The sequence below is a fragment of the Homo sapiens genome, chromosome 18 (assembly GCF_000001405.40).
Source record: "Homo sapiens chromosome 18, GRCh38.p14 Primary Assembly".
NCBI classification, from domain to species: Eukaryota; Metazoa; Chordata; class Mammalia; order Primates; family Hominidae; genus Homo; species Homo sapiens.
Genome location: NC_000018.10, coordinates 23,357,046 through 23,382,844, shown reverse-complemented (window position 1 = coordinate 23,382,844; position 25,799 = coordinate 23,357,046). Strand labels below are relative to the sequence as shown.

The following is a 25,799-nucleotide window of genomic DNA, read 5'->3' as shown; positions in this document are numbered from 1 at the left end:
AGTGAGCAGCCCTGGGCTTAGACAGTTGTCATTTTCTATTTGGCAGTCCCACGGCCAAAGCTGGGAGGTGGAGGCCTCTCGGCACTTGGGCTGATCTCTGTGCAGTTGGAGGGTTCCCTGGATGGACACCTTTCTCTGACATTTTACTTACAACACCATCGTGCAGTTTCCATAGTCCGTCAGTTCTAACATGTGCTTCTTTTCTTTCACATTTTAATTGAATATCTACAGTAGGAAGGCTCTTACAATCAATGATGTGTCATGGTGTAATTTTTTTTTCTTTCTCCCTAATACATAAAATAAGTGGAAGTTTTACAATCATTGGTGTCTTAGGATCAGTGAGATACAGCATGATTTTCCCCGTGTCTCAGGCCTGCTTCCCTGAGTCTTCCAATGGCAGGAACCACGTGGTGGTTCTCCTCAGAGCTCTGGGCTCAGCCTCCAGAACTGGGACTGAGCTAAAGAGTCACTAAATGGTCACTGAGATTCAGGAGCAGAACTTCCCTGAGAGTGGCTTAGCTCTGGGAACCTGACCTGTCCAAATTAAAAAAAAAAACTCATATTCTCCAAAGGGATCCTTTCTTTCTTTTTTTTTTTTTTTTTTTGAGACTGAGTCTCACACTGTCACCTGGGCTGGAGTGCAGTGGTGTGATCTTGGCTCACTGTAACCTACGCTGCCCGGGTTCAAGCGATTCTCCTGCCTCAGCCTCCCGAGTAGCTGGGATTACAGGTGCCCGCCACCATGCCCAGCTAATTTTTTGTATTTTTAGTAGAGATGGGGGTTTCACCATGTTAGCCAGACTGGTCTTGAACTCCTGACCTCATGATCCGCCCACCTCAGCCTCCCAAAGTGCTGGGATTACAGGCATGAGCCACTGCACCTGGCTGGGATACTTTCTTATGAATTTAGAAAGGAAGATTTACTTTCTTATGAATTTAGAAATGAAGATTTACCTGGATAAGATCAAGGCATCTCCACAGGGTTTTGCTTCCTGATGAGCAGGCCAGAGCCTGTAGATGAGGGTGACGGTAGGACTGAGGGTTAGAAAGTCCTTCAGGGATGTTTCCCTCTAGCAGGGGACCTCTTCCATTCTAGAGATGAGGGCAGATGTCTGGCTGAGAGGCCCTGTCCTTGGAAATAACTGAATGAACACCATAAGTGTTTGCATCTTCGACTCCATTTCATCACTAACACAAAACATCATTTCTTGTCAGGGCAAACTAGAAAAAAAGTGAGTGGGTAATTTGTTGTTGTTGTTGTTGTTGTTGTTATTAAAACAAACCTTTCTTTCCTTTATAAATCTAAGAAGATTTAAGATGTTGTAGAAAATACAGATGGAGGCCGGGCACAGTTGCTCATGCCTGTAATCAAAAAGCTTTGGGAGGCCAAGGCAGGAGGATCACTTGAGGCCAGGAGTTCGAGGCTGCAGTGAGCCATGATTGTGCCACTGCACCTCAGCCTGAGCAACAGTGAGACCCTGACTCTAAAAACCCAAAAATCAACTGTTTCTACTTCCCTGAGGAAACCACTCTATTCTTTCAGACTTTTTTCCCATGCACATATATAGATGTATTTACACGAACGGTAAGAAACATCCTGTTTTTCCATTTAACAGTTTGTCAGGAATCCCTATTAAGGCTATCATTCCACATTGGTTGAAGCATGAGTTGGCTGTTCCCTATTTGTAGAATTGTAGGTGGTTTTTAGCAATTTAGCGTTAAAATCTGCTCTATGATGCTGCTGTAATATGTTCTTGATGAGACTTACATTTCTGATGATACAGCTAGGAGCCTTGATGAAGTCATCCCTTATCATAAGGAACACACTTGCACGCCACCTCACAGACTGTTAAATGTTACCATGAGGGCTATTTTGTCTACTATGTGTAGATTTTACTAGAATCATTTTTGGAGAGTAAAAGTTGACCTCCTTGTGACTTCATTCTCAGATTATGAAAATAAACTATCTGGAGCTGTAGAGTTCATTTTCACCATCCACAACAAGGCCTTTGTGTATTCATGCACACACACACACACTCATGCACACATACACACACACACACACAGTTTGACTGTAAGGCAATACGTGGCTCGAGGAATTAATCTAACTACCTTGCAGAATTATTTATTATAGTTTAATATTAGAATACTCCTGTTTGTTTATTCATTTGTTCAGGATTTATCAAGTACCTATGAAATGTCAAACATGTTGCTAGGCCTAAAGCTGCAGAGACGTAGGAGACGCATTTCTTAGCCTTAACGCAGAGTTGGATGGAGGGGCTGGCCTGTACACTCGGGCTGGCACAGGGTATGGGTGGGCCAGCGGGTGAGCTCCAGTAATTCGGCATGGGAGGAGCAAGGAAAGCTTCCCTGGTGGATAGATTTGAGCTGAGTCAGGCAGGATGGGAAGGGACTTTCCAGTTTGATAAGGAGAAAGGGCTCTCCTTGTCAGGCAGGCAGAGGGAGCATCAAGTGGTGGCTAAGGGTGCCAGCAGGGGTGACACCGCAGGACTGGCAGGCAGGTGATGGGCAGCTTCCCTCATTCCTCAGTGCCTCAAGTGCTCTCCTCTCTAACATAGAACCAATGACTGTTAATTACCCCATGATTAAAGGATTCAGTACATGCAGAGCCCTTAGAACAGCACCTGGCAGTGTGAGTAGCCCTCACAGTTCAGTTAGCTAACCCAGAGGAATGTCAGCTATTTATTGTTAATTTTGGCAGCATGACTTCTTTTTTTTGTTTTGTTTTTGAGACCGCCTCACCCTGTCGCCCAGGCTGGAGTGCGGTGGCGTGATCTCAGTTCACTGCAATCTCCGCCTCCCGGTTCTAAGCGATTCTCCTGCCTCAGCCTCCCGAGTAGCTGAGATTACAGGTGTGCGCCACCACACCTGGCTAATTTTTGATATTTTTAGTAGAGACGGGGTTTCGCCATGTTGTCCAGGCTGGTCTTGAACACCTGACCTCAAGTGATCTGCCCTCCTCGGCCTCCCCAAGTGCTGGGATTACAGGCATGAGCCACCACCCCTAGCCCTTTGGCAGCATGACTTTTGAGGAGTTATAATAACCCATTTAGAACCCTGAGACCTCAGTAGGACTTGTTGCTAGGTTATTTTGGACTGAGTATCCTGAAAAGGAAAATGACTGCCATGAACTCAGTCATATCCAGAGCCCTGGGAGATGGAGCTAAGTAATGAACATATTGCCTGTTTTTACTCTCTGTATCCCAGGATCTGTGTGCTCTTTTACTCCCCTCCATGGAAGGGGCCTTTTCTTTTGGCCTGAAACATTAGCCCTGGAAGTTACTGGGTGAACATGCTATTCACAGAAGTGGAAGAGCATCCCTTTAGTCCCTCCTCTCAATTTCTGCTCTTACACTAGGCTGTTGAGGTTTTGGTTACATTTAGCTCTATTTTGAGTAACTGCTGGGCATGGTGGTTCAAGCCAGTAATCCCAACACTTTGGGGGGCAAAGGCAGGCAGATCACTTGAGGCCATGAGTTCAAGACCAGCCTGGCCAACATGGTGAAACCCCATCTCTACTAAAAATACAAAAATTAGCTGGGCATGGTGGCACACACCTGTAATCCCAGCTACTTGGGAGGCTGAGACAGGAGAATCGCTTGAACCCAGGAGGCAGAGGTTGCAGTGAGCCAAGATCACGCCACCGCACTCCATCCTGGGCAACAGAGCAAGACTCTGGCTCAAAAAAAAAAAAAAAAGAATTTTTGAGTAACACATTTATCATACCGGGGGCAGTTACGCAGGTGTGAGCCAGATCACCTTTGCCCTCCTCCTTTCAGCTCTTGAGGGCTAACTTCCCAGCAGATGGCAGTACAGCACGGTTGGCCTCGCGTCCTGTGCTCTGCAGAGGCAGGGTTGGACAAAGATCAAGATTAGAGTCTAAAGTTGCAAAAATAGAATCTGTTCATTAAAACAGGGGAAACTTTATTATTTAGGCACACATGAAAACTTAAGGTAGCCTTTGTAGTAAGCCACATGTTTCTCTTGTCAGCGCTTCACGTCTAAACAATATGTTCATACTTCACACTGCCTGAACTAGCATCAAAAATTGTAGTTTGTTCCCAGCTAGCAGAATAATCCTTCTGAAATGTTTAGAATTAATCAAAAGTTTAATTGTACCTGTTCATTTCCTCTATCAAATATAGAAGAAAAATCTGTGTCACCCTCTGCTAACATGTTACTCTCTGCTAACATGTACAAATGAGTTCTCAGTACAAAAGTCTGATTTCATTAAACTGACTCATCAAAAGGAATTATAAGGGTGAGTCCAAATCAGAATGTCTTCATTACAGGTAATTTAAATGCCAAGTTTATATTCCTCCAGTCTGCCTTTTTTTCCCTTGTCTCTCGGGATGGAGTAAAATGTCCCTTCTCCTTTTTTCTGTTTTTTAATTTTCATATCACACCAGATAGTTTATAGGACTGCTCTGAGTCAGCTGGATTAGTGAATGGAATATTTAAAGAGACAGAACTAAAATAGAAGTTGAGGTTGGGTGCAGTGGCTCACGCCTGTAATCCCAGTGCTTTAGGAGGCTGAGGCAGGAGAATCGCTTGAGGCCAGGAATTCAATACCACTGAGCAACATAGTGAGATCCTGCTGCTACAAAAATGAAAAAAAAAAAAAGAAAGAAAGAAAGAGTAGCCATACATGGTGGCTCATGCCTGTAGTCCTAGCTACTCAGGAGGCTGAGGTGGGAGGATTGCTTGAGCCCAGGAGTTTGAGGCTGCAGTGACCATGTCATTGCACTCCAGCCAGGGCAACAGAGTGATACTAGATAGATAGATAAATGGATAGATAGAACAAGAGCTTAATTGCTTTTTAAAATACAGGTTACATCTATTTCTTTCTCTCTCCTCTTCTTAGCATGTAAGATTTTTGAAGACACAGCCCCAGCGTCATTTTATCTTTCACGAGTAAACATCATTCTAATGGTGAAAGTACTTTGCTGAAGTGACTCAACTCTGGAATTCTGAGTCATCCTTCATTTGGCCCAAGCAGAAAAAGCCTCAATAAATACTAAAGTGCAGCAAGCTGTTAAGCTCTTGATAAATCTACTCATAATTTATTTGCCTCTTGATCAAAATGTTTCCTTTTAAGAGGAATTTAAAAAGTTTTAAAAGTCTAATTGTATGTTTCTTTACTTTTATGCAGAAAACATCTCCTGCAAAGATCTGTAGGTAAGTTTACTGCCCTCCCCCCAAAAAGCCATAATATAAGATTTAACCTATTTTTAACTTGAATGATAAACTGTTCAAGATTCATACTCTAAGAGGTGGCAGAAGAATTTATTATAAACATTCATATATCCCTAATTTGTGTCTTAGTCTAAAATTTCTTGTGTTTTTCTTTTCTTTCTGAAATATTTTATTCCAAAAGAGAAAACACCAGAACCAACCTGTGCTAGATTTCAGTCATTGATGCCCAAAACTTTACTAACAGTTGTGTAATACTGATGGAGAATGAAAATGAAAAACATGGAAATGACTTAAAAATTTAAAAGTAATGTTTGTAGTTTATTTAGTCTTTAATATTTTCCGTGGTGGAAAAAGCACCAGCCTGGAAGTCCTGGGATCTGAACTGCAGTCCTGGGCCATAGCAGGGTGATTGTGGGCAGCTTTCCTCGTCCTCTTTGCCTCAGTTTCCTCAGCTACAGCGTAAACTGGGCCGTCCTGTCATGCAGACCCCGGTGCCTGCAGCATTTGAATTCTAACCTGGGTGCCTTGCATCTGACTGCTTCCCGCTTCCTCTGCAGGCCAAGCAGCTCAGTCCTGGAGACAGAAAACCAACAGAGGTGCTTTGATAGATGGATTTAGGATTTCTACTGCAGATATTTCTGGGCTTTCATCCAATCCCCCACCCTCCTTTTATTCCTTTATTACAGGTTGCACCTTGAAAGAACAAGACAAAACCAAACTTCAAGACTATCCTCCTGTTTAAAAGGAGACTAGCAGGTGTCAAAGAGAGGCGGTAAAGCTCATGATACCTGATGTAATCAGGTACTGCTTGAGGCCAGGTGGGGTGGGAAGGCAGGCAGGTGTCTCACCCTTGGGTATCCCCCATCTTCCACAGTTCCAAGAGGTTGTCTGTTTGGGGTGATCTCTGATGCTCATTCTCCATGGATGGGGAAGCATCCTCTATTCTATAAAGCCTTTCACTGTAGGTAGACACCAAACCCATCAGGATATCAGGATTCTCCTCTCCTCCCACCACAAAACCTGCCTGTTCCTGGGCAGCCCCAAGAAGCTCCCCTGACAGTCTCTTCTCCACTCACCCCACTGTTTGCCTTGGATTCTTCTCTAGGTCATTTGTGTGTTGGGGTGCCTTGAAAGTCAGCAAGGCTATAGGAGTAGGGCAGGCTGAGGTAGAGAAGTGTCCTGAGCCTCAGGCTGCTCCATGTTGTCCTGACCTTCCCAAGGCTCTGGGGCCTCAGCTCCGAGGGCCCCTCTGCCAGTCCTCCTGCCTCTGGCCCAGCCGGTCAGTGCTGGTCCATTGGGTACAGTGACATCTACACATGGTTACAGCAGTGAGGACTGTCAGAATTGATCAGCACCACTGTTTTCAGTGTACTAAGATTACACATGCCAAGTTGTTGTGTGTTAGATATATATGTTTATGTGTACATATAAAAACATGTAGTCTCTATGTAGAATACAGAATCTGTGTTGGTGGGAGATGGCATATGGCAAAGTTCCCTGAAAGTGAAAACATTGTATTCGGTGCTTTTGTTCACGCCTTTGATCCTTTGCTGTTTGCTGCCTGATGGAATAGTCAGTAGTTAAGGGGCACTATATATATGTTGCCTCTATAAAATGGAAAGAGGAGAGAGACTAAGTGATAATTTGGGTTTTATGCTTTCTGGCGCCTTCTTTTAGGAGGAGAGAGTGGGGAAAGCTAGAGGCAAGAGCTTTTGGCATATGAAACTCAGAAGGAATAGGCCGTAAACCAGGGATTACTGAACCAGCTCCAAATTGACTTTCTAATGAGTGAGGATAGCTTCCTGAAAATATCTGTGTTTGGCAGTGTTACTTTTTTGAGCAAGAATTTTTAAAAATTGCTTTACGGTGAAAATTTCTAAAGACATATCAAAGTAAACAGAATAATGTAATGAATGAAGTCCTGTGTACCCAGTTCCCAGCTTCAGCCATTTTCAGCTTCTGGCCCCACCCACTGCCTTGCTCAGTATTTATTCCAGGCACCCTAGCATTTCATCTGTAAATATTTTAGTATGTATAAGAGATTTTTCTAATAAAACATTTTACGGGGGGAAAAGTTTAAACCTACAGAAAAGTTGCAAGAATATTACAGTGAGCTCTCATGTATTCTTCACCAAGATTCACCCATTGGTAACATTTTTTGCATTTGCTTTCTTGCTATCTCAATGTATATATGTATACACATGCATAAACATACATAAATATCACATAAATATATGATAATGTAGATATTATTCTTGCTCTTATTTTTTCTGAATCATTTGAGAATAAGTTGTAGAGGTCATGACTCCACTTCTAAATACTAAATACTGTGTCTCCTAAAAACAACCATCCCTTAGATAACCAAAGTGCAGTCATTGAATTTAGAAAATAACATCTGATATGATACTGTTATTTAATATTGAGTCCATGTTCAAATGTTGCCACTTATTATCTGGCCACAATATTATTATTATTATTATTTATTTATTTATTTTTATTTTTATTTTTTTTTTGAGATGGAGTCTCGTTTTGTTGCCCAGGCTGGAGTGCAGTGGTGCCATCTTGGCTCACTGAAACCTCTGCCTCCCGGGTTCAAGTGATTCTCCTGCCTCAGCCTCCTGAGTAGCTGGGACTATAGGCATGTGCCACCACGCCTGGCTAATTTTTGTGCTTTTAGTAGAAAAGGGGTTTTACCATATTGGCCAGGCTGGGCTCAAACTCCTGAACTCAAGTGGTCTGCCCGCCTTGGCCTCCTGAAGTGCTGGGATTACAGGTATGAGCCACCATACCTGGCACAATACTATCTTTTATAACATTTTTTTCCCCTAAAGATGTCATGTCTAAGCCAGGTGTATTGGCTCAGGCCTGTAACCCCAGCACTTTGGGAGGCCGAGGCAGGCGGATCACCTGAGGTCGGGAGTTCGAGACCGGCCTGACTAACATGGAGAAACCCCACCTCTACTAAAAATGCAAAATTAGCCTGGTGAGGTGGTGCATGCCTGTAATCACAGTTACTCGGGAGGCTGAGGCAGGAGAATCGCTTGAACCCGGGAGGCGGAGGTTATGGTGAGCCGAGATCGTGCCATTGCACTCCAGCCTGGGCAACAAGAGTGAAACTCCATCTCAAAAAAAAAAAAAAAAAGATGTCATATCTCTTTTGTACCCTTTAATCTAGAACAGTTCCTCAGTTTTTTATTGTCTTTCATTGCCTTCACATTTTTGAATAGGGGAGGCCTGTTGTTTTGTGAACTGTCCTAAATTTGGGTTTGTCTCAGTGTTTCCTCGTGGTTCAATCCACGCTCTGCATGTTTGGCAGGAATACCACCCAAGTGATGTTGTGTCCTTCCGAGCTTTATATCAAGAGGCACACAATGTGGATCTGCCTCATTATTGGTGGTGTTAAGTTTGATCATTCGGTTGTGGGGTTGCACAAAGGATTTTAATGCAATTTCCGTAGTGTTTTCATTTTTGAAACAGGCATATTTGTGGTCTGATTCCCCAGTTTTTCACTTGTATATTTTTGGGGATCTGCAGTTGAAAAAACACTTGTTTTATTAGATGTTTCACAGGCACACTATTTTCCTCAAGTGAGCCAGCTGTGGTTTTGCAGATGTCCTGTAAATGCCTGACTCTGGGAAACGGCTAGCTGAGGTCCAGAGAAGGAAATGTCTGCTTATGAGTAGAGCACATAATTGAAAACTACACAGGTAGTCAGGTTCACAGAGGAAGGACAGAGGAACCAAGTTGGTCTCGCAGGATCTTTGCCTCATCCAACTCCAGAGGATGCATTTTCACCTCCACGCTCTTAGGGAAACCTTTGATGTTGAAAGGTGAAGCTGCAGTGTTTTATCTCCCTCTCCACAGTGCCCTCCTCCTCCTGGCCGCAGCAGGATGCCTTCCCTTCAATGACTCCCAGGTAAGTCCAAGTGAACTCATTTGCCTTCAAAGTGTCTTTTATTCTCTGAAGCCTGGGTGTATGACCAGAATTTCCTAGTCCTTCCTTTTAGAAGCAGGATAACTTGGCCTATGCAGAAGCATTCCAAATCTTGCAGGCTGGGTAGCTCTGGGCCTGGGCAACACCATTTCCCCAGGCCTTTGCCTTCTCCGCAGGGCTGCAGGCATCGTGGCCTGCAGAGCTGTGGTCCCTGGGCACTGTGGTGGCTGCCATCTGTCCTCTGTACATGCCTGGTGAACCTGCAAGCCAACGCCCAAATTGCCCCAGCCTCAGCCATGGAGGCAAAGTTGATTTTCTCTCCTCCCAAGGGCCTCATCTCCTGCAAAGTGATTTTTTGTTTTTGTTTTTGTTTTGTTTTGAGACAGAGTCTCACCCTGTTGCCCAGGCTGGAGTGGAGTGGCACGATCTCAGCTCACTGCAACCTCCACCTCCCGGGTTCAAGCAATTCTCCTGCCTCAGCCTCCCGAGTAGCTGGGATTACAAGCGCCCACCACCATGCCCAGCTAATTTTTTGTATTTTTAGTACAGATGAGGTTTCTCCATCTTGGCCAGGCTGGTCTCAAACTCCTGACCTCAAGTGATTTGCCCGCCTCGGCCTCCCAAGGTGCTGGTATTACAGGCGTGAGCCACTGTGCCTGGCCTGCAAAATGATTTTTATTTTATTATCCTGTGCTAAAGTTGAGTTTTCTTTATGAGGTGCTGAGGACCCACCCCCGCCCCCCAGTAGTCATCTCATTTCTGGGTTTCCTTTCTTTCTTTTTTTCTCCCTCCTTTTCTCCCCCAGCATTATTAGGTCCCCACCACGTGTCAGGCACTGAGCCAGGCTCTGGGGACACAAAGAGGAAAATTAATCTTTGCTCAGGCAGAAGTCAAGCCTATTTGGAGCAAAGGGGAGGGAAACAGTCAAGTAAACAGATTGTTATCACACAGGGGGGCCAGGGCTCTGTCCTCGAGATACAGGGGGCTCTGAAGCACCTAAGAAGACGTGGGGCCTCAGGAAGTAGGAGTAGCCATAATTACAGGGAGTCTGCTGTGTGCCAGCCTCTGTGCCAATGCTTTCTGTGCCTTATGTTATTTAAAATCTCACAACATTTCTGTGAGGGTGGGAGCATTATTATCTCCATTTCATAGCATAGAATAAGGAGGCCCAAAAGGTCACCAGCTAACAAATAAGTGGGGATTTTAGAATTTATCCCAGATCTCTCTGATGCTAGAGCCAGACTCTCCTTACAGGACCTAAATCTGGAAGAATGAGGAGGAGTTAGCCAGGAGAAGAAAGCAGGCGAGGGCAGTCCTGGAGTGTCATGAGTATCCTGTGATCCAGTGTCATTGAGCACCTGCTATGTGTTTACCCCTGTTCTAATGCCCACCCTCCTGGAATGTGCAATCTAGGAGAGGGGAGGGCAGGGAGAGATAGAGACACATAAACAAATAAGGGGCTGGGCGCGGTGGCTCACGCCTGTAATCCCAGCACTTTGGGAGGCCGAGGCGGGCGGATCACGAGGTCAGGAGATCGAGACCATCCTGGCTAAAAACGGTGAAACCCCGTCTCTACTAAAAATACAAAAAATTAGCCGGGCGTAGTGGCGGGCGCCTGTAGTCCCAGCTACTTGGGAGGCTGAGGCAGGAGAATGGCGTGAACCCGGGAGGCGGAGCTTGCAGTGAGCCGAGATCCCGCCACTGCACTCCAGCCTGGGCGACAGAGCGAGACTCCGTCTCAAAAAAAAAAAAAAAAAACAAAAAAAACAAGGAAGAAATAAATAGGATGTGTCCTATGATACTAAGTCCTGTGGAGAATAATAAGGGAAGAAGTAGAGGGTCCCCTCGGTTGAGCTGTAGGGGGAAGCAGTCATGCTTGGGAAAATGCAAGTTATCCTTATTCAGGGACAGTAGGGGGTACATACAACCAGAGGGGTTGATGGGGGCTTGTCACAGAGGTCTTGGGGTGTCATGAGTTTGGATTTGAACTTTGTGATGGCAGTGTGGGGCATGGGGTGTTGGAGGCAGAGTCCTGTTAGGAAGATGTAGGCAACTGGTTGAGGAATGAGAGGGAACCAAGGAACTGATGTACGGCCCCAGGAGTCCTGTTTTGGGACCCTTGCTTGGCACTGAGCATTGATGACAGGTTTTCTGATGGCCACACTGGATTCCATTTGCCTTGCACTTATAGCCATTTTTTCTTTTTTTAATTTTGTGTTTCAGTTTAATCCAGATGGATATTTTTGGGCTATAATTCACTTACTCTGTGTAGGTAAGTTTTAAAAGAATTATTATGTAAGGCTGGGCACGGTGGCTCATACCTGGAATCCCAGCACTTTGGGAGGCCAAGGCAAGTGGATCCCTTGGGCCCAGGAATGGAAGACCAGCCTGGGCAACCTTGAGAAACCCCATCTCTACAAAAAATACAAAAATTAGCCAGGCATGGTGGCACATGCCTGTTGTCCCAGCTGCTCAGGAGGCTGAGGTGGGAGGATCACCTGAGTCCAGGGAGGTCGAGGCTGCAGGAGTCATGATCACACCACCGCACTCCAGCCTGGGCAAAAGAGGGAAACCCTGTCAAAAAAAAAGAAAGAGAGAGAGAGAGAGGGAGAGAGGGAAGGAGAGAGGGAGGGTGGGAAGGAGGGAGGGAAGCTTACTTGAATAATTGAGGTTTATTGTATACCCACTTTTTGGTGACCTTGGAAAATTAAATCCAAGGTGTGAAGGTTAAAATTAAATGGGCATTTTCTGGATTGGTTTTCTATTTTGAAGTTTTTCCTCAAATGTTTCCATTTCCAATATACTTTCCTCTTTTTCGTGACAAATATGAACTAACTCACTGTGGCTTGGGGTTTCACTTGCTCAAGTCAACTTTTGGAATGCTGATTGGTCTTCTCTAGAAATGGTGGGAAGATATCCAGAAGTTCATGTCAAAAACATTTTCTTTCAGTAATTTACCAAAAAAGTTTAAGTTGTTCAAATAAAGGGACCATCTGATTTTATTACAAATCACATATTCAGTGTTGCTTGTCTGTAGTCCTGGGGGAAAAACGGTGCCCTGACTATTAACACAGCTCAGAAATGTTCAGAAATCCAGGGGTGTTTCTCTTTTCATGTGCGTCATGTCAAGGAAGTAAAACCTTCCTGTTAATTGTGTCCTTCATAATCATGATGCTTTCCATGCCCAGCACTCTGGGGACCAATGGAAGGACTGACTGCGTTATCATAGAGGATTATTGAATTTGTATCCTTGAAGCCTTCCAAATGTTGATGGTCTTCTCCTGTCAGCTGGGTGTGACACTCGTAGGGAAAAGGACCAGCAGTCGTGCTTTTGGGAGCCTTTATCCATGTGGATTTTGTGTGTCCCCGGACAGGCCAGCAGCTCCTTGAGCAGAATACCATGACCAGTGATATGTTTTATTTCATTTTCAGGGGCTTATAAAATTCTACAGAAGTCCCAGAAACCCAGTGCATTAAGGTAAACTCTTTTTTTTTTTTTCCTTGAGATGGAGTTTAGCTCTTGTTGGAGTGCAATGGCGTGATCTGGAGTGCAATGGCGCGGTCTCAGCTCACCGCACCCTCCACCCCCCGGGTTCAAGCGATTCGCCTGCCTCAGCCTCCCGAGTAGCTGGGATTACAGGCATGCGCCACCATGCTTGGCTAATTTTGTATTTTTAGTAGAGAGGGGTTTCTCCATGTTAGTCAGGCTGGTCTGGAACTACCGACCTCAGGTGATCCGCCCGCCTCGGCCTCCCAAAGTGCTGGGATTACAGGCGTGAGCCACCACACCCGGCCAGGATAAACTCTTAATGTTTGGTGAGCTGTGGTTGGGTTAAAGGAAAGGGCTGAGACTTGTGGTATCATGAGATTCTTCCATTCAGCCAGAGACTCTACAGGCCTGGGTTGTGTTGAGGGCAGGGGACTTAGTCCTTGAAGCCGGCCCTCTTCTTGCTGTTTGGGCCACTCCAGGCTGTGTCCACCAACACCTGGAACATGTCTGCCTTTAGCCATGTGTGAAGAGGCATGGAAGTCTCAATCTCCTTCCTTCAGGGGATTCACATGTCACCTCTCAGATGACATGTGAATGAAATGTATGTGGCCAGCTGCTTTGGGTGCCAATCGGCTGCATCAAGCACAGAGGGACAGTACTTTTTCTTGTTTCCCCAGCCCCGTCCTAATTTGACTTACTTTAGACCCAGAAGTCTCCACTTACTAGCTCATTCTTGGGCAAAATGAGGCCTTTGTTGCAGCCAGTCAATGGAGCAGCTTTGGTGAATGTAAATGAGAAAAGACAAGACTTCAGGCCTGGAGCGCTGAGGCCAGTGCCCCTAGACTGGCCAGCTGGCCTCCAGGTTTTGGGGCCTGCTGAAGGCCTAAAGAGAAAAGGTCTGAAGGGAATGACTCCTGAGAGAAGGTCATCCACTCTGAGAATGTGGGGCTTCCACTCCCTGGAGCACCTTTTGTTCTTTTAATAAAGTGTTTTTGTAGCAAGAAGCCAGTAGAGTTGCCAGATAAAATACAGGATGCCTGGTTGCATTTGAATTTCAGATAAGCCTCGAATAATTTTTGTAATATTTGGAACATACAGTACTTACACTAAAACATTACTCTTTATCAGAAATTCAAATGTGTTTGATTGCCCTGTATTTTTATTTGTTAAATATGGTAGCCCCAAAAGCCAGTCCAGTGGCCTGAGATAGTTGACACTCCTTTGAAAGTGACAAATGTACATGTGGGAAACAGTTGCCCACAGGTGAAAATGTGTGTGATTTAAAATGAACTAGTAACTGGTTTTGAATATTAAATACTTTTCCCTCTATTTATGGATAATTTATAAAAGTAGTAACTAAAATAGAATTTATTAGTAGAAGACAATGATTATTTTATGTATTTAAAATAGTTCTGCTACTTCATTTATCTTTTTTTCCTCTCTCATTCCTTAGTGACATTGACCAGCAATACTTAAACTATATATTCAGGTAAAATATAATTTACATTTTTAAAGAACAATTCATATCCTAATGGATTTTTATTTTCCAATAATATTTTGATTGAAGAGTTCTGAGCCAATGTGCCTGCCAGGAAGATAAGTTACAGAATTTGTGAGATGACAGAGTTGAGGAGACCAAATAGCAGTCTTGCCCTTAGACCAGGCAAGAGGGGCCTCTCTCAGGCCCTAAACTTCAGAGGGCCACATCCCTTCTCCGGGACGTGGCATCTGTGAGGCTAAAGGACGTTTCTCTCATCCCAGAGGCCACACCCTCACTTCTAGATTGTGTCCTTGAATCCCCCACCCATGTCCCTGAGCTCGATTCCAGGGCTCCTTGGGTCCATCTTCCCAACTCATTCCCAGGCCCAAGGGGTGTCCAAAGAGAGGCTGTCAATGGGCAGGAGTGTAGGTGGAGAGGACCTTGCAGACTCAGGTGTCCACACACATGTGTGAGGCCCTTGGGCTGCAGGATGAAGCCTGGGGTGGAAAGAAAAGGGGAGCATTGGCAACCGGGAGTCAGAGGCTGCCCTGGGCTGCTACATTCTGACATGCAGCACCAGGGAGCCCAAGAATTCTACATTTTAAACTAGACTTTCAGGTTATTCTGAAGGTGTATTTGTTAAGGTAGGATGAAGTCTGAGGCTTGATTTATAACTTTTAAATATGGTATGTGGACTTCTGTTTGTATCCTTGTCCCAAGCCAAGCAGAGAATAAGCCTGCTTACTAGAACAGCATGATACACCCTTTTTATATTAGTAGAATTTCTTCATTATAATTTACATGTAATTTATAATCTTATAACTATAAGGGGTTTCTGTATTGGGAGGCTGAGGCAGGAGGATCACTTGAGCCCCAGAGCTCAAGGTTACAGTGAGTTATGACTGAATCACTGCACTCCAGCCTGGGCAACAGGGGGAGATCTTTCTCAAAAAAAAAAAAAAGTATCCAGGGCTTCAAGTTACGTTTTTCTTCAAACATAGTCCCACCACAGTACACCTAGAGGTGATTAATTGCAGTTCAGAAAACGTATTGAGTACCTGCCACATGATGTTTGGCACTGCTAGGGATCCAAGGATGAATAAAATATGGTTCTTGCCCCCAAGGAGGTCACAGTGTAGGATGCCACAGAGGGGAAAAGGTGAAAAGAGAATGAAGAGAGAGTGTTCCTTTGGTGTGAGCCCCATTCATCTTTGGCACCCTCCCATCGCCCTCTCTGGAAACCCCTCCCGTCCCCCAGCACCCCTCTGCAGTACCTTCATGCTGCTAAAGCCCACTGTGGGGGCCCCAGTCCCCCACCCTCTGCAACCTCTTCTATCAAAACTCATGCCATCCAGGTGGCTGATTGCGTTGGTTAGGAATAAAACTTGCTATCTAAGTATCGGAGGGAATTTTTTTTCAAGTGCGCTGAATGGCCTGCTTTGGTAGGAGTTAGGAGTGGCTTAATACTGTATTTGCAAAATTCAAACAAGGATTAAAGGACCAACTCTTCACTTAATTATTTCTTATATTCATCCCCTAATATTTTATTTGAGGTTACCCTTTGGGGCGATTCTGATGATGGGATTTGGGATACATGACAGGCTCTGGGAGATGTTTTGGGATGGCAAGAGACCCCTCATATCCTGCCATGAGAGTGATCACTTCTCCTCCTGAAGTTATAACCAAAAAGGGATTCAGGGAGGTAAAATAATGGAGTATATACAGGGTATATGTTTTCCAAAGAAAGGTGAGATGGAAGCAAAGACTTAGCCTATGCAAAGGGCTGATCATTGTGAAGTCTTCAGTCTTGTTTATAGCTACATGCAGCCCTGTCTTATAAACCTACAACTTCTCAATGACTGGATGTGTGGCTCTTCCCATTGGCTTTCTCGCAAACCTCCTGTCTAGCCTCTGTCCACACTGCTGCTGCCCTGGGGCCATCAGAGAACCTTAGCTTTAGAGGAAGAGCAAAGGAAGAACATGAGAAACACAGAAATGGCTCCGGGAGACAGCTCCTGGAGCAGGCAGGCTCCCAGTGGTTTTTTTGCTCACAGCCGTCTTCCTCCACACTGCCTAGGGTGTCACCACCAACTAGGGATTCCTTGTGGTGGTTCCCAATCCTGGTGTACTTTAGAGCCACTGAGGGGCCATAACAAAATAAAACAACTGATTGCCTGCACCTCAGAGATTCCAATTTAAGCCAGGACACTGGGCTATTCTGATATGCAGCCAGGGTTTAGAACCAGAGTAGGCCATCCAGCACTTTAAAAAATTCCCTGCCATACTTAGATAACATGTTTTATTCCTAATTCTCTAATTTGATTGGCTGCCCAGATGGCATGAGTTTTGATAGAAGAGGTTGCAGAGGGTGGGGGATTGGGCCCCTCAAGTGGGGTTTGGCAGCATGAAGGCACTGTAGAGGGGCACTGCGGGACGGGAGGGGTTTTCAGAGAGGACGATGGGAGATTGCCAAGGATGAACAGGGCTCACATCAGAGGAACACTCCTTTTCATTCTCTTTTCATCCTTTCCCCTCTGTGGCATCTATTGAAAATCAGTAAAGTTAGTTTTCAGCCACATGGTAGATGGGCTGGATCAATTGTGGGCTAGCCTCTTGGAAATGTAACTATCTTCTACACAGTTGATTTTGTGGCAAAAATATACGTAGCTCACACACAACAGCTAGCTTTTACATTGCAAGCTATTTTAATTTGGTGTTTGCTTTGTTTAGCTTATAAATACTCTTGGTAGATTAGGTGAGTATGATCATAACTAGGGTCAGCCAGGATTGAGAAAAGAGACACAGTAGACCCTCAGGTTGAGACATGGATTCATACTCTGTCCCAAGCCTGTCCCAAGAGGCAATCTTCTTGCCAAAACATGAGACATTTCAAGACATTCTTACTCTCTCTGAGGAGCTGGATTTAGGCAGAGTGAGTCAGTGCAGATAATTTGCTTTTAGGCATATTTAACTATTTCCAAGTAAAATGTGTGGGAACAGCTGGGGTTTTTGGTGCCGGGGAAACTTCTTGACTACTTTGCTGTCTCTTTTCCAGTGTGGTGCTCCTGGCATTTGCATCTCATCCCACAGGTAAATGCCCCCGGAGTGTTGTTTTGTTTGTCTGTTTGACATTGCTTATTGGACCCAGTGAGCCTGTCTCTCAGAGACATTTCATAAGAGCATGTCATTGCCCCCCAGGATGACTGAGAGGGCAGGAAGGTCCCACCTATTTGAAACTGCTCTTAATAAACCAATTTATCATCCAGGAATTTATTCTTACCCCTTCTTGTTGTCTGTGTTTTCATCCAGTATGATCTCAGATATACAGACAGGTCTATTTCCTGCCAAGTAAACTAGGGCTTATTTTGCCCGCTTCTGAAATTCCTTTTCCAAGCGTCCTGAATTGCTCTTCATTTCTAGTGTTAAAAAAATTGGTGAAAAAGTTCAAAAGTTCAAAAAACTCCCTGAATCCCTTTTTGGTGATAACTTCAGGAGCAGAAGTTATTGCTCTTATGGCAGAATATGAGGGGCCTCTTGCCATCCCATAATGTTTCCCAAGGCCTGCTATGGTACCCCAAATCCCATCATCAGAATCATCCCAAAGGGTAACCTCAAATAAAATACTAGCAGGTAAATATAAGAAATAATTAAGTGAAGGAGTTGGTTCTCTAATTCTTGTTTGAATTTTGCAAATATATTGTTAAGTTACCCTCTTTCTATCTGGCATCATTTTTAAAGTTTGTATCATATGTCACCATCCAATTCTCATAATTCCAGAAGAAAGGAGTCCTTTTTTTTTTTTTTTTTTTTTTTTTTTTTTTGAGACAGAGTCTCACTCTGTTGCCCAGGCTGGAGTGCAGTGGCATGATCTCAGCTCACTGCAACCTCTGCCTCCCAGGTTCAAGCCATTCTCCTGCCTCAGCCTCCCGAGTGGCTGGGACTATGGCGTATGAGACCATGCCTGGCTAATTTTTTGTACTTTTAGTAGAGATGGGGTTTCACCATGTTAGCCAGGATGGTCTCGATCTCCTGACCTCATGATCCACCCACCTTGGCCTCCCAAAGTGCTGGGATTACAGGCGTGAGCCACTGCGCCCGGCCAGGAGTCAATTTTTAAAATGTATCTTACTGCCTCAATTACTCTGTTGTTGCTTTTCAGATTAAGGAATTGCCCACAAGACCCTATTCCATCACAGTTTTTTGCTTTGAAAGGCTTTGAAATTGATGCCAAAAGATAAAACAATAATGTCTGTGTGTGGCATGGCTGAAAATACAAGTTATATTGGTTGTGCTCCTTGTGGCTTCGTGGAGTGTGGTGCAAAGAATAGACTCAGAAGGATTGGAACTTTCCTTGGCTCCCCCACTGAGTGGCCTTAAGATAGATTTTTGTTTTTGTTTTTTTTTAAAAACAAACAAACCACAAAATGAATGTTTACTCACCACTTGCTATGCATAAAGCATTACCTAAGCCCTCTAGGTCTCAGTTTTCGCATCTAGAAAATGAGAAAGGTGAATTGGCTGCTTTCTAAGGTCCCTTCTAGCTCTTACCCTGTGCTTAAAGCAGTAACAGCTTTCTGTTGGCGTTTTCAGCTGCTTCTTTCAGTTGGTATTTTACCTGCCATCTGAGTGAGGATCCTCAGGGAGTTGTTGCTAGTGACTCAGGAATAATGCTTCTGGATTGTATATGACATATCTGAATCCATGTCTCGTAAGGATAACTTGAATGCATTTTCTTATTACACTCCGCTTGCCATATGAAAGCACAGTTCCTATTGTCTGCCTGCTCCTATGAACGATGACTTCTCAAAACTCCAAGGTTGGCTGTTGAGTCCCCTCTCTGCTGTCATTTGCTGAAAGTCTATCCTTTGTGGAATAATAAGTCCTGTGAAGCCATACTGGTAACCCTAAATGGCTTCTGCTTACCCATACTGCTGGTTGTCTGCCTTTTAGTTGCGTCTCCTATCATTCCTTTATGCAGCCAGGTAGCTGCCACCCAGCAGACATTTAAGAGCCTACTAAGTGTCCTGCCCCTTTGAAATGTGCTTTTGTCAGCCGGGCGTGGTGACTCACGCCTGTAATCCCAGCACTTTGGGAGGCTGAGGCGGGTGGATCACGAGGTCAGGAGATCGAGACCATCCTGGCTAACACGGTGAAACCCCGTCTCTACTAAAAATACAAAAAATTAGCCGGGCGTGGTGGCGGGCGCCTGTAGTCCCAGCTACTCGGGAGGCTGACGCAGGAGAATGGCGTGAACCCGGGAGGCGGAGCTTGCAGTGAGCTGAGATCGCCTCACTGCACTCCAGCCTGGGCAAGAGCGAGACTCCATCTCAAAAAAAAAAAAAAAAAAAAAAAAAAAAAATGTGCTTTTGTCAAAGGCCTTTGGAAAGTTATGTTCACAGATTCTCCGTGGTTTACATCCTGAATTATTTCTAGTGGACTTGGGTGAATAATTCTTTTTTTTTTTTTTTTTTGAGACAGAGTCTTGCTCTGTTGCCCAGGCTGGCCAGGCTGGAGTGCAGTGGTGTATCTCGGCTCACTGCAACCTCTGCCTCCCGGGTTCAAGCAATTCTCCTGCCTCAGCCTCCTGAGTAGCTGGGATTATAGGCACCTGCCACCATGCCCAGCTAATTTTTGTATTTTTAGTAGAGACGGAGTTTCACCACATTGGCCAGTCTGGTCAGGAACTCCTTCCTGACCTCAAGTGTTCTGCCCACCTCATCCTCCCAAAGTGCAGGGATTATAGGCGTGAGCCACTGTGCCCGGCTGGGTGAATAATTTTTACCTAAAGAAATCATGCTGCCCTTCAGCTAAGAGGTTGTGCTTGTTCATTTGTTAAACTTATGATGGTCAGAGCTGGAAGGAATCTTGGTGATTATCCCAGGTGCCACCAAATTGTATTAATTACTTATGCATCATCCTAATACAAATGAGGAAATTGAAACCCTGAGGAGTTAAGTGATGTGACCAAGATGATGCAGAGTAGGCGACTAGCAGAGGGAGACTGGGGTTAGGTCTCCTGACCCTCTTTCTAACTTTTTCTTTTTAAATGCTGCTGCTCTTTCAGTGATCCTACACTTTATTGCCTTTCTTTGTTTGTTTTTTGTTTTTTGTTTGTTTGTTTGTTTGAGACAGAGTCTCGCTCTGTTGCCCAGGCTGGAGTGCAGTGGTGCAATCTTGGCTCACTGCAACCTCCGCCTCCCAGGTTCAAGTGATTCTCCTGCCTCAGCCTCCCAAGTAGCTGAGATTACAGGCACCTGCCACCATGCCTGGCTAATTTTTGTATTTTTAGTAGTGACAGGGTTTCACGATACTGGCCAGGCTGGTCTCGAATGCCTGACCTCAAGTGATCTGCCTGCCTCAGCCTCCCAAAGTGCTGGGATTACAGGCATGAGCCACCACGCCCAGTCCCCCTACACTTTACTATGAAGTATCCCACTCCAGTGAATGCTTTTGTACAACGTTCCTAAATTTTGGTCTGGAGCTGCTTTTGGTTTGGGGGATGTGTTTAGCCACCAGTTTCTGAACATGGTGACTGCTGGTAATAGTTTAGACATTTTGGCCAACAGTCTGACATTTTACCTTGAGTTATTGCTAAACTTTTAGGTCAATACAAAAATACCTTGGACACTTAATTACTCCCTGGGAATACAAAGTGGTCAGAAGTATATGATTGTAGAATGTCCTGGGCAGAGGAGTAATTTGAAATAGGCTTCAGTTTCTTTTTGAGGTAATGAAAATATTCTGGAATTAGATAGTGGTGATGGTTGCACAACTCTATGAATATACTAAAAACCACTGAAGTGTACACTTTAAAAGGGTGAATTTTATAGTATGCAAATTATATCTCAATAAGAAAATGTATTGGGGGAATAAAAGGACATCTTTCTCATTTGAAAACCTGTTTGGAGCTTAATTATGCCGGAAGGGATACTTGCATGGATTAATTTTCCTTCAAGTTATATTTTCATAATTTTTGAAAAAGAGTGGACACAAATGTTCACCTTCCCTTCCGTCTCCTGCAGGATGGGGGATGGGTCTGCAGTGGGCAACCCAGGGCATTGTGGAGCCTGTTGGATTCATCAGAGAGAGTCCTGGGACACTGCTCTTGAAGGACTCTTCTCTGCAACTTCGATTTGTTGAAGTTTCCTGCTAGCTGAGGTGGGGTCATTGCAGAGGCCAGGTACAGAAAGTCGGGCTTATAAGAAGGGTTTTGCTGGGCCGTGGCACTGCTGAAGTGGCTGTGGGCTCCCTTGCTGTAAGGGAGCAGGACTACTCTTACAGGGTGGCTCCAATTCCTGCCGATTCATTCATTAGCTTTCTGATTGGACCAAGTCTAGCCCACTTCAAGGTAGAACAGAACTTTATTCTTTTTCACTTGCTTATTACACTTGCTATCTAGAACGTCTGCAGTGGGGCCTGAGTGTGTGTTGGATGAGCTGTCTTCCTGGTTCCCTGCTGCTCCAGTTAAGACACAGTCACAGTCAGTCTCCATAGGGATAGTCTTGGAAGAATCTGTTCATACTTTCTGACATTTTACAGCAGGGCTCAATTCTTTTTGGTTTCTTCTTACCCCTTCTTTTTTTCTATTTTTCTTTTTCTTTTTTTTTTTTTTTTTTTTTTGAGACAAAGTCTCGAACTCTCTTGCCCAGGCTGTAGTACAGTGGCACAATCTCTGCTCACTGCAACCTCTGCCTCCTGGGTTCAAGTGATTCTCCTGTGTCAGCCTCCCAAGTAGCTAGGATTACAAGTGCCCGCCACCACGCCCAGCTAATTTTTGTATTTTTAGTAGAGACGGGGTTCCACCATGTTGGTCAGGCTGGTCTTGAACTCTTGACCTCAAGTGATCCACCCGCCTTGGCCTCCCAAAGTGCTAGGATTACAGGCGTGAGCTGCTGCACCCAGCCCCTTCTTTTATTACCTGTATCTTAGTTATTTGGTAGTACTTTAAAAACATTTTTAAATTGATATGTAATTTACATATATGAAATATACATGTTAAATGTATAGCTCGATCAATTTTGGCAAATCTACACACCTGCGTAACTTATACCCCATCAAGATATAAAACATTTCTGTCACTGCAGAAAGCTTCCTAGTCACTCCCTCTCCACACCATGAGACCTCTATGGATCTGATATCTGTTACCATAGATAAGTTCTGTCTATTCTCAAGCTGTTATAAATGGAATCATCAGTACTTTTTGTGTCTGGCTCATGAAGCACAATGTTTAGAGATTCATTCATGTTGTTGCGTATATCATGAGTTTGTTCCTTTTTGTTGCTGGTAGGGTTCCATTGTATGCATATACCACGTTTGTTTATCCATTTACCTGTTGATGCTCACCTGGGCTGTTCCCAGCTTGAGGCTGCTCTGAACATTCTCATACCAGCCTTTTTGTGACTTATGTTTTCACGTCTCTTGGATGAACATTTCAGAATAGGATTACTGGGTCTTAGAGTAGATGTATGTTTCACTTTCTAAGAAAGGATGTTTTCCAAAGTGTTTGTACCATTTTCCACTCCCACCCAGCAGTATGTGAGAGTTCCAGTTGCTCCACATCCTTACCAGCATTTAACATTGTCAGTCCTATTTTAACTCTTCTAGAGGGTGTGTGAGGGCTTCTGGATAGTGCTTTTGACTGAGCTTCCCTCCTCACTCACTCCTGAGTGATTGGAAGGAGGAGCTCTCTTGCAGGTGCACCTTTGGAGTGCGCTGGCAGCGGTGGTGGGACTCAGGCAGACAGTTCTTCATGCCCTCAGCATGGGCCCCACCACAGAGTTTGCTCCGAGAATCTCAGAACCTTCCTTGAGAAGAGGATCACCTTTCCCCCTTGCACTCTTTTAAGTATAGTAGAGGAAATTTCCCCTGTTAAAGAGTTTATACTTCCTATTTGTATGGGGCCCCTTAGCTGTGGTGTTCAAGAGAGCTCTAGAGAATTTCACGGAACAAGAGGAGCAGGGAGACTCAGGAATCTGACCCAGAAACAACCTTGTTACCTGGTGTGTCTGTGGCTCATGTGTGAGACAGAGCAAGCAGCACTAATTACTGCTTGGAACCGACCTCCTGTTTTCCTGCCAGTTTTGAGGGCGAGAACATGAGAGGAAATTTTCTTCACGTTCAAATATCAGTTAGTCTCGAATGTGGTAATATTGTGTCACACTTTTCACCATGGCAATTTCATGCTTTGTAATCTTTAGAAAGATGGGATTCACTCGCTCACTCAGAGTCAGCAGAATTGTAACTGCAGAACACAACAGTGAGGGCCTAACTCGGACTCCATTGCATAAGCCGCGTGTTGCTGTAGCAAAACATGTTTACAACTCTTTTTTTTTTTTTTTTTGAGATGGAGTCTCACTCTGTCGCCCAGGCTGGAGTGCAGTGGGACAATCTCGGCTTACTGCAACCTCTGCCTCCCAGATTCAAGCAATTCTCTGCCTCAGCCTCCTGAGTAGCTGGGATTACAGGCACCCGCCACCACGCCCAGCTAATTTTTGTATTTTTAGTAGAGATGGGGTTTCACCATCTTAGCCAGGCTGGTCTTGAACTCCTGACCTCGTGATTCACCCACCTCAGCCTCCCAAAGTGCTGGGATTACAGGCGTCAGCCACCGCGCCCAGCCTTGTTTACAAACTCTTTAGCCACTTGATTTGTGCTTAAGCCGTGTAGTTCAGCACTAGATGGTGCAGGAGTGTTGTTTTGCAGCAGACTCCTGGATCGAGTTTGCATGTGGCTGGGGCCAGCCAGCCACACGCTGCAACCTCTTCCGGGGGTATTTATAGCACAGTCACTAACATTTGCTGTTCCTGGGTTGCCGTGCACCCTCTCTGCTTAGGAGTACTACTTTAGCAAAAGAGAAGCCAGGTGGAAGGCATCGAAGGGGAATATTTGAGGTCAGCTTGAAATTGAGGACCACAGAGCCAGCTGGAAACTAGAACATTAGCTCTAGGGAAGGCAAGAGATGATCAGGTCTTTCCAATACTCTTGGTTTGGTAGTGCTTGCTGTGTGCTGGGTATATTGGTTATGGTGCTGACACACAGTGGGTGCAGGGGTGAGGAAAATAGCATCCCCACTCTCAAGGACTCGCTAATTCTAGGAGGAGGAGGGACAGGTGTGAAGTCAGCTAAGTGGTGTGTGAGAAACCAATGTGTGATGGTTTTAGAAATGGCTCAAAGGTAAGGGCTAGCTATTCTTATTTTCTCTCTCTCATTATGGGGTCAGTTTTCAGGATTTGGGTGGGGGTTATGATTTCCCGAGGACTGTGTTTTTTTTTCTTTCTTTCTTTTCCTCCCTCCTAGTCTTCCTCTGACCACACTTCTGCTCTTTAGACCCCCTCCAAAGCCTGGGCTGGGCTGTAAAAGCTGCCACGCGCCATGAGTCCCGTTCACCCTGCTGGAGCATTTCTGATGAAAGACTGGGTGCTGAGAGGGGTGAAGCCTGAGAGGACTCAAGGTCCTAAGTTTCATTCGTCTCCCTCTCCGCCGTTCCTCATTATCACATTGGCTGCGCTGCAGTTCCTCTCACACTGAGAAGGAAACTGGGAAAGGGCCAAGAGCACACAGCTGCCAAAGAGACGGAACGAATTCTCCATGGACGTGGACAGACTCTCCCTCCACTTTGCCTGAATGGAGGGCTCTGGCCACTCTCTAGGTCTGGGGTCCCCAGGGCACCCTTGCCTATCACTTCTATGGGGAAAGGGACTTCAGAATATATCCACGCTCTTCGCACACTAAATGACAACTGATGTTGTCATTTACAAATTCCCTCTACCAACACGGTTTGACAGTAGAGCTATTCAGAGGAATCGTGGCTGAAAGAGAACAAGAAATCTTGTTGGGCTTCATGAAAACCAGATCCCAAGAAATCCCTTCCTTGTAGTTAAACACACACTCACTCGCAGAAACAACACAAAGAAAATAACAGTCATAATTTTAAAAAGCCCTCCAAAGAAATTGAACTCAGAACTTTCCTTACCAATAGATAGTTGAATCATTTGAGATCGTTTGGGTCTCCAAGAAAGCATAGGAGCCCATCATGTCTTTTGATCTGAAACCCTTGATTAATAGCGTAGTGGTGAAGGAAATGCTGCCTGTGTGTTCCACTGTACACTTAATATACTAGCAATACTTAGGAAAATCAGCCCTCTCCCCCAGGCCCCCAGAACTGAGAGACAGGCCAAGGCCCAGGGGTCTGGAAGACCAGGCTCTCCAAGGGGTTCAGAAATTCCAGATTTGGAAGACAAGCTATCTGCTGTGGAAATGCTTAATTCCTTTTCTCCGGACATTTTTGGAAGGCTTTCTGCTTTTTTAATCTCCTGACTTCTTGTTTGTGACCAAGTTCAAATTCCAGAGAGGGAAGCAGCCAATATGTGTGATTATTTCCTCTTGCACCAAGTGGAACTAAAAGAATGAACTTACTTCACAAGAAACAAATGTACCCTTTGGACCTCAAACTAAAATGAATTTGCACAGTTGGTCTGGCCCCCGTGCTGTTCTTGCAGTCATTAAACATAAAAATGAAAAAAAAAATGTCAGGGCAGTACATTCATGACCTTTTTTTAGATATAAGGCAGAAAAGAAGAAAAGAGTCTTGAAAAAGATTCTTTTATCCTGCATGCTCCCTTGTGCAGGGTTGGCTGCCTGGTAGAGAGGAGACAGCCTAAGGTTTGGATTGACTGGAG

At 44.8% G+C, this 25,799-nt stretch overlaps 1 protein-coding gene across 23 annotated transcripts in view, besides 3 other annotated features; it reads left to right on the top strand.

Annotated features, from left to right (window-relative positions):
* The window catches only part of SLC35D4 (solute carrier family 35 member D4), a 199,440-nt gene that overhangs the window by 55,117 nt on the left and 118,524 nt on the right, over positions 1-25,799 (top strand). For 12 of the 23 annotated variants that reach the window (NR_148382.2, XR_001753290.3, NR_148383.2 and 9 more), the window contains 6 exons: positions 5,174-5,199; positions 9,082-9,133; positions 11,375-11,423; positions 12,584-12,629; positions 14,095-14,130; positions 17,177-17,211. Coding sequence is in view for 14 of the 23 variants with exons in the window: in XM_047437894.1 (XP_047293850.1) it covers positions 5,174-5,199; positions 9,082-9,133; positions 11,375-11,423; positions 12,584-12,629; positions 14,095-14,130; positions 17,177-17,211 (244 nt within the window). In the remaining 9 variants the exon portion in view is untranslated. Of the gene's footprint in view, positions 1-5,173; positions 5,200-5,903; positions 6,019-9,081; positions 9,134-11,374; positions 11,424-12,583; positions 12,630-14,094; positions 14,131-17,176; positions 17,212-25,799 lie in introns of all 23 variants that reach the window. The other 11 variants (XM_047437896.1, XM_047437895.1, XM_047437892.1 and 8 more) reach the window with 6 other exon arrangements.
* Positions 4,562-4,691: an enhancer, noted in NCBI's record as "active region_13154". NCBI's record gives its function as "activates an Ori minimal core promoter by ATAC-STARR-seq in GM12878 lymphoblastoid cells {active_cell/tissue: GM12878}" and the evidence as "EXISTENCE:reporter gene assay evidence [ECO:0000049][PMID:35858748]".
* Positions 5,899-6,398: an enhancer, noted in NCBI's record as "H3K27ac hESC enhancer chr18:20956411-20956910 (GRCh37/hg19 assembly coordinates)". NCBI's record gives its function as "activates a minimal SCP1, AML or CMV promoter by ChIP-STARR-seq in primed H9 embryonic stem cells {active_cell/tissue: H9 hESC(primed)}" and the evidence as "EXISTENCE:reporter gene assay evidence [ECO:0000049][PMID:30033119]".
* Positions 23,974-24,093: an enhancer, noted in NCBI's record as "active region_13153". NCBI's record gives its function as "activates an Ori minimal core promoter by ATAC-STARR-seq in GM12878 lymphoblastoid cells {active_cell/tissue: GM12878}" and the evidence as "EXISTENCE:reporter gene assay evidence [ECO:0000049][PMID:35858748]".